The sequence below is a fragment of the Homo sapiens genome, chromosome 8 (assembly GCF_000001405.40).
Source record: "Homo sapiens chromosome 8, GRCh38.p14 Primary Assembly".
NCBI classification, from domain to species: domain Eukaryota; kingdom Metazoa; phylum Chordata; class Mammalia; order Primates; family Hominidae; genus Homo; species Homo sapiens.
In genome coordinates this window covers 43,223,285-43,236,652 of record NC_000008.11, presented here as the reverse complement: position 1 = coordinate 43,236,652, position 13,368 = coordinate 43,223,285, and positions in this window count along the sequence as shown.

Genomic DNA, 13,368 nt, shown 5'->3' with positions numbered 1-13,368 from the left:
GAAGATCGAGACCATCCTGGCTAACACAGTGAAACCCCGTTTCTACTAAAAAAAAATACAAAAAATTAGCCGGGCATGGTGGCGGGAGCCTGTAGTCCCAGTTACTCAGGAGGCTGAGGCAGGAGAATGGCATGAACCCGGGAGGCGGAGCTTGCAGTGAGCCAGAGATCGCGCCACTGCAGTCCAGCCTGGGCGACAGAGTGAGACTCCGTCTCAAAGAAAAAAAAAATTTTGACCGGGCACGCGGTGGCTCACGCCTGTAATCCCAGCACTTTGGAAGGACGAGGCGGGTGGATCACCTGAAGTCAGGAGTTCGAGACCAGCCTGACCAATATGGAGAAACCCCGTTTCTACTAAAAATACAAAATTAGCTGGGCGTGGTGGCACATGCCTGTAATCCCAGCTACTCGGGAGGCTGAGGCAGGAGAATCGCTTGAACCTTGGAGGCGGAGGTTGCAGTGAGCTGAGACTGTGCCATTGCACTCCAGCCTGGGCAACCAGAATGAAACTCCCTCAAAAAAAAACAAAAAAAACACAGTGCATGCAGAGACAGAGACAGCATCTCACTGCCAGGGCTGGTCTCAAACTCCTGGTCTCAAGTCATCCTCCCACCTCAGCTTCCAGAGTGCTGGGATTACAGGCATGAGCCATGAAGCCTGGGCCCTTTTATATTTAATGTAATTGTTGAAAATGACTAGGTTTAAGTGTACCCTGTTGTTATTTGTTTTCTATTTCTTCTTTTTTTTAAACTATTCTTTCTTTAGTGTGCCTATTTTTTAGTCTTCTGTTTTATCACTTCTGCTGTCTTCTTAGCTATATCTGTTTGTTTTCATTTTTTTTGTTAATTGAAAGATTACAATATGTAGGCCAGGCACAGTGGCTCGCGACTGTAACCCCAGCACTTTGGAAGGCCGAGGCGGGCAGATCATTTGAGGTCAGGAGTTCGAGACCAGCCTAGCCAACATGGTGAAACCCTGTCTCTACTAAAAATTCAAAAATTAGCCGGACATGGTGGCAGGCACCTGTAATCCCAGCTACTCAGGAGGCTGAGGCAGGAGAGTTGCTTGAACCTGGGACGTGGAGGTTGCAGTGAGCTGAGATCTTGCCACTGCACTCCAGCCTGGGTGACAGAGCTAGGCTCTGTCTCAAAAAAAAAAAAAAAAAGAAAGAAAGAAAGAAAGATTGCAATATGTATCTTTATCATAGTCTATCTTGAATTAATATTTTAACATTTTTGTTTAAGGCAAGAGCCTTAAAATGGTATAATTCCAATTACTCTCCTCTGTCCTTTATGCTAGTTTTTTTCACTTTTTTACGTATGTTTGTTGTGAGTTATCAGAAATTAGCATTGGATTTTGTCAAAATGCTTTTATGTCTTTTGAGATGATTCTATTGATTTACTACTTTATTTTATTTATATGATGTACTATGTTCATTGGGTTTTAGATAGTAAACCAAATTTGCATTACTAGGATTAATTCCAGAGAGTTACAGTGTATCACCATTTTACATGTTGTTGGATTTAATTTGCTTCCGTTTTGTTAAATATGTTTGCATGTAAACTTATGACAGATATTGCTTGGTGCTTTTCCTCTGATGTCGCCATCCTGCCTTGGTATCAAGCTAATACTGGCTTTCTAAAATGTTTGGGCATATGCTCTTTTCTCCATTTGCTGAAAATGTTTGTGTATGACTGGTATTCTTTCTTCCTTAAATATTAGATGGAATTCACAGGTTAAGCCATCTGGCACTACACTCTTCTTCAGGGGAATATATTTAGTTACTAATTCAATTTTTTTTTACTTTATATACATCTATTAAGATTTTCTATTTTGTTTTTAAGTCAGTTTTTCTACTTAATATCTATCTAGGAATTTTATTATTTCATTTATGTTGTTAAACTTGTTGATATTAGTTGTTCATCATTACCTTACTTTTTTTATTTTATTTTATTTTATTTTTTGAGATGGAGCCTTGCTCTGTCACCCAGGCTGGAGTGCAGTAGCACAATCTTGGCTCACTGCAAACTCTGCCTCCCAGGTTCAAGCGATTCTCCTACCTCAGTCTTCCCAGTAGCTGGGACTACAGGCCTGTGCCACCACACCCCGGCTAATTTTTTTTTTTTTTTTTTTGTATTTTTAGTAGTGACAGGGTTTCACCATGTTGGCCAGGCTGGTCTTGAACTCCTGACCTCAAACGATCCACCCACCTCAACCTCCCAAAGTGCTGGGATTACAAGCGTGAGCCACCATGTCAGCCTTAAATTCTTTTTAAATTTCTGTTGAATCTGTTGTAAGGTTCTGCCTTTCATTCCTGATATTGACAATCTGTGCCTTCTCTCTTTCATCTTGATGAGTCCAGTAAAATCTCTACCAGTTGCGTTATTTCAAAGATACAATTTTAGGTTTCATTGTTTTCTCTATTGTTTTTGTGTTTCCTATTTCACTAATTGTTGTTCTGATTATTATTATTTCTTTTATTTTATTTATTTTTGTTTTTGTTTTTGTTTCTTAAGTTGATTAGGTAATTGATTTGAGACGCTCTTCCTTTCTAGCAAAACATTTGAATTCATAAGTTTCCCTGTAAGCATTGCTTTAGCTTCTTTCCATGTATTTTGATTTATTGTGTTATTCTTTTCAATCCACTCCAGATATTTTCTAATTTCCCTTGTGATTTCTTGTTGAAATGATGGATGGTTCAGAGCTATTTTGTTTAATATTTGTTCTGTTTAATTTTTTAATACACATGTGTACATATCTATTATTTTATATTGTGTTTTCTGATACACGTATTAGATGTTTTCTTTTGGAGGTGAGAAAAAGGGCAGCATAGGTAAGAGAAAGAGAAATAAGGTTGGCTAGAAATGGGAGTCAGTGGTTATTACTTTATGAGAAACCACAAAACTATAGTAAATTAGTGGGAAACAATTATCTGCTTGAGATAGAACACTTTTCTGGATGAGCCAAAAATAGGTATCCCACTTCAGAGTAGATTATGGGAAGAGAAGCTTAATTTCTCAGCTTCCTCCTACCTTCTTTTTCCATTGACAAAGTATTCCCCATAGGACATTAACTCCCTCATACCTCCAGAATGCATCATTCTTTCAATAGTGAGTTCAAATGCCAAAGCCCAAGCTATTTTATGGGTTGCTAGTTCCTACAGAGGAAAAAGCTGGAATCTCTGGGCAATCACTGCTGGACCTGGCTGTGTATCAGAGGCTATACTCCTAGGACAGACAGCACACTGGTTGTCACCAGGCAGCAAAGCTACTTGGGCCTGAGCAGGAAACCACAGGGCATGGCTGGTGGCAGAGTAGATGGCCAAGGATACATGAGACAGGTGCGCTAAGGAAACCGGTGACTGAGATCTGTGTCAGATCTACATACATACTTATTGATGTATAATTACAAACTTAGAAAATTATTGTGAAAGATCCACACAAGAAAGTTAACCTTTGGGAAAATTACAGCATGAACAGAAGAGGGAGCTTTTACTGCCTTTTTTTTTTTTTTTTTTTTTTTTTCCGAAATGGAGTCTTGTTTGCCCTGTCGCCCAGGCTAGAGTGCAGTGGCGCGATTTCGGCTCGCTGCAACCTCTGCCTCCCAGGATCAAGCAATTCTCCTGCCTCAGCCTCCTGAGTAGCTGGGACTATAGGCACATGCCACCACACCCAGCTAATTGCTTTTACTGCTTTACATGAATTTCAATAATAATATTATGGGTGATTTAAAAATTTTTAAATATATTTTAGAAAAATTAAAAATAGTTGTTACATTAAATTATTGTACATTCATACAATGAATGTCTTTGCAGCTATTTAGATACATCTCAAAAAAATCATTTAAAAAAGCACCATGTTCATAATAAGTAAAAAAATATTGAACAGTATACAGTCATCCCTCATTTTATTGTGCTTTGCAGATATTGAGTGTTTTACAAATTGAAGGTTTCCGGCAACGCTGCATCAAACACTTCTATTGGCATCATTTTTCCAACAGCGTGTACTTACTTCATGCCTGTGTGTCACATTTTGGTAATTCACATATTATTTCAAACTTTTTCCTTTCTGTTATATCTGTTATGGTGATCTGTAATTCGTGATTTCCGATGTTAATACTGTACTCGTTTGGGGTGCCATGAACTGTGCCCATAGAAGACAGCAAACCTAATCAATATGTGTTGCATGTGTTCTGCCTGCTACATTGACCACCCATTCTTCTCTTTTTGCCATCTCTCTCCCTTGGCCTCTCTATTCCCTGAGACACAACAATCTTAGGCCAATTAATAGCTCTAAAATGGTCTCTAAGTATTCAAATAAAAGGAAGAGTTGCATTTCTCTCACTTTAAATCAAAAGCTAGAAATTATTAAGCTTAGTGAGGAAGACATGTCAAAAACTGAGATAGCCTTAAAGCTAGGCCTCTTGCACCAAACAGTTAGCTAAGTTGTGAATGCAAATAAAAGTTCCTGAAAAAAATCAAAAGTGCTGGTCCAGTAAACACATGAATGATAAGAAAGCAAACAGTCTTATTGCTGATATGGAGAAATTTTGAGTGGTCTGAATAGAAGATCAAACCAGCCATAACGCTTCCTTAAGCCAAAGCCTAATCCAGAGAAACTCCCTAACTCTCTTCAATTCTGTAAAAGCTGAGAGAGGTGAGGAAGTGACCGAAGCTGCAGAAGAAAAGTTTGAAGTTAGCAGAAGTTGGTTCATGAGGTTTAAGGAAAGAAGTCACCTCCGTAACATGAAAGTGCAAGGCAAGGCAGCAAGAGCTGATAGAGAAGCTGTAGCAAGTTACCTTGATCTAGCTAAGGTCACTGAGGAAAGTGACCACACCAAATGACAGACTGTCAGTGCAGCTGAAATAGTCTTGCATTGGAAGAAGATGTCTCCTAGGACTTTCATAGCTAAGAAGTGAAGTCAATGCCTGGTTTCACAGCTTCAAAGGACAGACTGACTCTCTTATTAGTGGGTAATGCAGCTGGACACTTTAGGTTGAAGCCAGTACTCATTTACCATTCAGAAAATCCTAGGGACCTTAGGAATGATGCTAAACCTACTCTGCCTTTGCTCTGGAAATGGAACAAAGCCTGATGACAGCATATCTGTTTGCAGTGTGGTTTACTTAATATTTTAAGCCAACTGCTGAGACCTACTGCTCAGAAAAAAAGATATTTTTTTCAAAACTTTACCATACATTGATAATGTACCTAGTTACCCAAGAGCTATGACAGAGATGCACAAGGAGATTCATATTGTTTTAGGTCTGCTCACAGAATATCCATTCTACAGCCCATGGATCAGCAAGAAGTAAATTTGACTTCCAAGTCATATTATCTGAGAAATAAATTTCAACTATTCGATAGTACAACAAGCTGACTATACTCAACAGTAACTTAATTGTACAATTTAAAATAACTAAAAGAGTATAATTGAATTATTTGTAACAATGCATAAATGCTGAGGGGATGGACACCCCATTCTCCATGATGTGATTATTACTCGTTGCATGCATGTATCAAAACATCTCATGTACCCCATAAATATATACACCTACTATATACCCACCAACATTAAATTTTTTTTAATTAAAAAAAGAAAGAAATTTCATAAGATTATAGCTGCCGCAGATAGTGATTCCTCAGAGAGATTTGGGCAAAGCAAATTTAAAACCTTTTAGAAAGAATGTACTGTTCTTGTGATAGTTTACTGAGAATGATGATTTCCAATTTCATCCAGGTGGCTACAAAGGACATGAACTCATCATTTTTTATGGCTGCATAGTATTCCATGGTGTATATGTGCCACATTTTCTTAATCCAGTCTATCATTTAGTGGGTGCAGCACACCAGCACGGCACATGTATACATATGTAACTAACCTGTACATTGTGCACATGTACCCTAAAACTTAAAGTATAATAATAATAAATAAATAAATAAATAAGTAAAAAAAAAAAAAAAAGAAAGAATGTACTGTTCTAGACGCCATTAAGAACATTCGTGATTCATGGAGGCTGGGCACGGTGGCTCATGCCTGTAATCCCAGCACTTTGGGAGGCTGAGATGGGAAGATTGCTTGAGGCCGGGAGTTCAACACCAGCCTGGTCAACATAGTAAGATCCCATCTCTATGTATACAAAAAAAAAGAATATTTGTGATTCATGGGAGGAGGTCAAAATATCAACATTAATAGGAGTTTAGAAGAAGTTGCTTCCAACCTTCATTGATGACTTTGAGGGATTCAAGACTTTAGTGGAAGAAGGAAGCACTGCTGTGGTGGAAATAGAAAGAGACCTAGAATCAGCAGTGGAGCTTGAAGATGTGACTGAATTGCTGCAATCTCATCATAAAATTTTAATGGATCTTCTAGAATGATTTACATGGATGAGCCAAGAAAATGCTATTAACAGTGTTTAGATAACTGCAAAGGAATTCAAATATTAAATAAATTTAGTTGATGAAGCAATGGCAGGGTTATATAAGGTGAACCCCAATTTTGAAAGAAATGCTACTGTAGGGTAAAATGCTATCAAACAGCATTGCATGCTACAGAGAAATCTTCCCTTAAAAGATGTCAGTAAATGTAGCAAACTTCATTGTTTTCTTATTTTAAGAAATTACCACAGCCCCCCAACCTTTAGCAACCACCACCCTGATTGGTCAGCAGCCATGAAAATTGAGGTAAGAGCTTCCACCAACAAAAAGGTTATAACTTGCTGAAGGTCCAGATGATTATTAGCATTTTTTAGCAATACAGTATTTTCAATTAAGTTATGTACATTGATGTTTAGACATAATGCCATTGCACACTTAATGTACTACACTATAGAGTAAACATAGCTTTTCTATGTGTCAGAAACCAAAAAGTCTGTGTTACTCACTTTATTGCAATATTCACTTTATTGTTGTGGTTTGGAACTGAACGCACAATATTTCTGAGGTATGCCTGTATGGAGAAAATAATTGAAAATGTAATCAATGTTTAAGGTTTTTAAATAGAAATTGTCATAAATATCTGCTGTTAATGTTTGACCATGTGAATAAACTGATTAGAATGTATGGAGAGAAAGAAAATACTATAAAAACAATAAGATAAAATACATAATATAAATGAAACTGAATGTTTAGCTATCATAAACAAAATAGATTACAGAAAAAGAATTCTATATAAAAAAGACTTGTGGAAGAACAGTGGTTTTGGACACTGACAAATGCAATTTTGAGTTCTGCCATTGCCATCTTGAAATTCATCCTGTTTGAGCTCTCGTTTTCTTGCCTGTTAATAATTAAAAAAGAAAAATCAGTATCTCACAGGGTACCTATTATGAAGAATAACAAGAACATATTTTAAATGCTTTGGATAAATTGAAGAGATAACGATGTGAAAACGAACGAGAAAGTTTAAACAACTTTGTTTGATGGTGTCAAATGAAGGAAATTTATTTATACTATTGTTGTCTTTTCCCATGTAAATTAGTTGAGCTTACTCTGCTGTTAATTATCCAACTTCAATAAGAACAGTAAAACTTTTATTATATAACTGACTACTATTTCATGTGGGGGAGTTCATAACAACTTAGAAAGAAAATTTAAGATATTTGGTCAATGTGTGTCCTGCTTAAAAAACTATTATGTTACCACAGAATATTTACTTCTTTTTTTTTTTTTTTTTTCCGTGAAGGAGTCTCACTCTGTCACTCAGGCTGGAATGCAGTGACATGATCTCAGCTCACTGCAACCTCTGCCTCCCAGGTTCAAGCGATTCTCCTGCCTCAGTCTCCCAAGTGGTGGGGCTACAGGCACCTGCTACCATGTCTGGCTACTTTTTGCATTTTTAGTGGAGACGGGGTTTCACCATGTTGACCAGGCTTGTTTTGAACTCTCGACCTCAAGTAATCCGCCCGCCTCAGCCTTCCAAAGTGCTAGGATTACAGGCGTGAGCCACTGTGCCTGGCCAGAATATTCACTTCTATTTGTTTTGCTTTTAACACTCAAAACCACATGATGGAGTAACTTTGACACTCAAAATTAGCCTAATATGGCTTCAGAGAAATGAGAACAAACAATATTCATGGATTCAAATAATTTTTACAATTTTCTTTAAAAAAAGACATGATTGTTGACTATCATAAGTCATGTTATAAAATGCTATTTTAATTTCTTGGATCTTTAAAGGAAACAAGATATTTTATTTAACATCTATACAAGAAGAGAGTATTCTTATTTCCTTATAATGCTTAAATCTCTAAGAAACTGAATTTTAAATGGGTGTCAAAACTTCGGCATGATAATTATAAGTAATTTGTAAGACAGTAATATTTGAGCAGTCATAACTTTTCTAACTAATTTGCATTATGATTATTACTCCTAGCATCAAATTTCAATTATAATCTATTTAAATGTCATTGATATAATTTGGAAATTAAGTGTTTGCAGAAACTCCATTTTGAATTACAAACATGTAAATACATTCTGGCATTTCTAAATTTAAGACTCTCTTTTAAAGTAGACTTAAAGATAAAAGCATATATAACTTTTATCCAATTTGTGAGTCAATTTGGAAAATGTCAGGGGTTAATTTTAAGTAAACATTCACTGTCTAATAAACACATGAGATTAAAGCATTAAAAATCTGTGAACATAATTACTTTTGGGGCCCTAAAGATGATAACATTGCAATTCAGCCTTAGCAAAGATGACAGAAAAGGTTCTTACTATATTAAATGACTTGGAAACTTCCCCCAAATCATAAGCTCAGTACAATATTTTTCTTTTTTTTTTGAGACGGAGTCTCGCTCTGTCGCCCAGACTGGAGTGCAGTGGCGCAATCTCAGCTCACTGCAAGCTCCGCCTCCCGGGTTCACGCCATTCTCCTGCCTCAGCCTCCCAAGTAGCTGGGACTACAGGCACTCGCCACCATGCCTGGCTAATTTTTTGTATTTTGTATTTTTTTTTTTTAGTAGAGACAGGGTTTCACTGTGTTAGCCAGGAAGGTCTCGATCTCCTGACCTCGTGATCCACCCACCTCGGCCTCCCAAAGTACTGGGATTACAGGTTTGAGACAATATTTTTTATCTTAAATACATAATGTTTAAATTCCATCCCCACAATTATCATTCTCTCCCACTGCCTAGGAATACATTTAACCAAGGACGTGAAAGATCTCCACAAGGAGAACTACAAAACAAAGATGAGGTAATTGTAGATGACACAAACAAGTGGGAAAATATCCCATTATTATGGATCTGAAGAAGTAATATTAAAATGACTATACTGCCCAAAGCTATGTACAGATTCAGTGTAATCCCTATCAAAATATCAATGTCATTTTTCACAGAATTAAAAAAAAATCCTAAAATTCGTGTGGAACCAAAAAAACCTGAAGAGGTAAAGCAATCCTAAGCAAAAAGAACAAAGCTGCAGGTATCATATTACATGGCTTCAAATTATACTACAAAGCTATAGCAACCAAACAGCATGGTACAGGTATAAAAATAGATCAATGGAACAAAAGAAAGAAGCCAAAAATAAAGTCACATGTCTACAGCCAACTGATTTTGACAAAATCAACACAAATATACACTGGAAAAAGGACACCATTTTCACTCAGGGAGGCTGGGAAAATCAGGTATTTATATCCAAAAGAATGAAACTGAGCACATATCTCTCACCATATACAAAAATCAACCCAAGATGGACCAAAACTTAAATATAAGTTGTAGAACTATAAACATAGCAGAAGAAACCTGGGCAAAACTCTTTTGAACAGTTTGTCCACACAAAGAATTTATTAGTAAGACCTCAAAAGTACAAGTAACAAAAATAAAAATATAGAAATGGGTCTTATTAAACTAAAAAACTTCTACAGAACAAAAGAAATAATAAACAGAGTGAATAGACAACCTGCAGAATAGGAGGAAATATTTGCAAACTATGCATCTGACAGAGGACTGATACCTAGAATTTCCAAGGAACTAAAGCAACTCCATACACACACCAAAAAAAAAATAACCCCACCAAAAAGCGGGCAAAGATTGTTGTACAGATTATACTAAAAATAAATAAATAAAATAAAAAGTGGGCAAAGAACATGAACAGATATTTTTCAAAAGAAGCCATACAAATGGCCATGAAGCATATGAAAAAATGTGCAACATTATTAATCATGAGAGAAATGCAAATTAAAACCACAATGAGACACTATCTCACACCAGTCAGAATGGCAATTATTAAAAAGTCAAAAAATAACAGATTCTGGTGAGGAGGTGGAGAAAAGGAAACACTTATACACTGTTAGTGGGAACTAAATTAGTACAACCTCTATGGAAAAGAGTATGTAAGTGTTTCAAAGAACTAAAAATAGAACTACCCTTCGATCCAGCAATTCTACTGCTGGATATGTACACAAAGGAAAAATATTATATCAAAAAGATACCTGCACTTGTATGCTCAGAGCAGCACTTAGATTGATTCCATATCTTTGCTATTGTCCATCAATGGATGACTGAATAAAGAAAATGTGGTATGTATATAATGGATTACTCTTCAGCCATAAAAAGAATAAAATCCACAATAGTCCCATCTAACAAATCTGTACATGTATTCCTATATCTAAGATAAACTACAAAATTAAAAAATAAATAAAATCATGTCCTTTTTTTGAGACAGAGTTTCATTCTTGTTGCCCAGGCTGGAGTGCGATGGCAAGATCTAGGATCACTGCAACCTCCACCTCCTAGGTTCAAGTGATTCTCCTGCCTCAGCCTCCCAAGTAGCTGGGAATACAGGCATGCACTAACCACACCTGGCTAATTTTGTATTTTTAGCAGAGACAGGGTTTCACCATGTTGGCCAGACTGGTCTCGAACTCCTGACCTCAAGTGATCCACCCGCCTCAGCCTCCCAAAGTGCTGGGATTACAGGTGTGAGCCACCATGCCCAGCCTTGAAATCATGTCTTTTGCAGCAATGTGGATGGAAATGGAGGTTATTATCTTAAGTAAAATAAAAGAAACAAAGTCAAATATTCCATGTTCTCACTTATAAATGGGAGCTAAATAACATGTACTCATGGATATAGAAAGTGGAATAATAGTCATTGGAGGTCAGGCACGCTGGCTCAAGCCTGTAATCCCAGCACTATGGGAGGCTAAAGTGGGCAGATCACCTGAGGTCAGGAGTTCGAGACCAGCCTGGCCAACATGGTGAAACCCCGTCTCTACTATAAATACAAAAATTAGCCGGGTGTGATAGCGTGCACCTATAGTCCGAGCCACCCAGAGGCTGAGGCAGTAGAATTGCTTGAATCTAGGAGGCGGGAGGTTGCAGTGAGCCGGGATCCCGCCATTGCATTCCAGCCTAGGCGACAGAGGGAAACTCCATCTCAAAAAAATATATATATATAGTCATTGGAGACTCAGAAGGGTGGGTGAGTGGGAGGGTGTAAGGGATGAGAAATTACTTGGTGGATACAATGTGCACTATTCAGGTGATAAACCAAACTTCATCACCACCCAGTGTATCCATGTAACAAAACTACACTTGTACCGCTTAAATTTATACAAATAAAAATTAAAACATGCAAGACAGAGGACCTTAATTTTTCTTTTTTCCTTTTTTTTTTTTTTTTTTTTTTTTTTTGAGATGGAGCTTCACTTCACTCTTTTTGCCCAGGCTGGATTACAATGGCAAAATCTTGGCTCACTGCAACCTCTGCCTCCCAGGTTCAAGCAAGTCTCCTGCCTCAGCCTCTCGAGTAACTGGGCTTACAGGCGTGTACCACCATGCCCAGCTAATTTTTGTATTTTTAGTAGAGATGGGGTTTCACCATATTGGCCAGGCTGGTCTCGAACTTCTGACCTCAGGCGATCTGCCCACCTTGGCCCTCAAAGTGCTGGGATTACAGGTGTGAGCCACCGCGCCCAGCCAAAATCAGTTGTGAATTAGTTTTTAAACATATACCTGGCAGGGGTCCCAGGAGTGGGGGGACCATTATTGCATGCTTTGAAATTTGAGGGTCCCATTCTGCTTATTAATCTCTCGAGAGCAAAAAACAGAACAAACAAAAAACTCTACAATGCCTATGAGAAAATATTTTGGGTTTGTACTGGTGTTTTGTTTTACATGTGCTTAACACAGAATTTTGTTTTACTTGGTGGGGAGGCTGCGATCTAATTGCCTGGTTGTGACCAATTTTTCCCTAGATGCATAAAATTTTTCTTAAGACTGGCAGGCCACTAGGGATCACCTTGCCTGCCCATGTACCAGTTGAGTAATCCTTACAGAAGAGACTTTTTCTTCCAAGACACATCCCTCATAGAACATTGGTGACTGCCCTAATGGCTTTTTATTTTATTTTAATTTTATTTTATTTTATTTTATTTTATTTTATTTTATTTTAGACAGAGTCTTGCTCTGTCGCCCAGGCTGGAGTGCAATGGCGCGATCTCGGCTCACTACAACCTCTGCCTCCTGGGTTCAAGAGATTCTCCTGCCTCAGCCTCCCAAGTAGCTGGGATTACAGGTGTGCACCACCACGCCCAGCTAATTCTTGTATTTTTAGTAGAGACGGGGTTTCGCCATGTTGGCCAGGTTTGTCTCAAACTTCTGACCTCAGGTGATTCACCTGCCTTGGCCTCCCAAACCATTGGGATTACAGGCGTGAGCCACAGCACCTAGCCAATTGCTTCTAATATTTAAATTTTTTATAGTTATATTCATATGTCCTATATTTTTGTAATATGTGGCTCAAACCATGGTAAGTTCTCATATCACCTTTATGCACCTTTCCTAAAAACTATTGGGAAGATAGACTACTTTAAGATTCAAATAGTTTAGGTAGCATCAGTTTATCAATCAGTTCATTAGTAGAATTCCTTTCTGGATCATATGAACTTGGTGCTTTTGTGTATGTGAGGGACTCTGATAAACGTCTGTTTCTTTTATATATATTGTACAATTTAGAACTTCTATCTCTCTGGGGGTAAATGTTGATAAAATATATATTTATAGAATATATAACATCTACATTTGCAGGTTAAGTTACATTGGATTGCCCAAATTTGTTTCCATTTATTTTTCCTATCAGTATTGGACTTCAAGTTGCTGTTTGCACTGTAACCTGCTGACACATCCTTCTCAAGTTCTTGGCATGATCCCATTTCTCTATTCATAATCAAATGATAGTTTGGCTCAGGAATCTGAGGATTAGCAGAAAATTGGATTTTCCATAGGAGACCATCTCAGGAAAGCACAGACTCCGGCAAGACGCGTGTGCTCTGCTGCCAACCCCTCAGTCTGGACTCAGCCCTTCCTGCTCCCTCCTTGGGAGCCTCTTCCTGTTGCCTCCAAGGGATCGTGGAAAGCAAG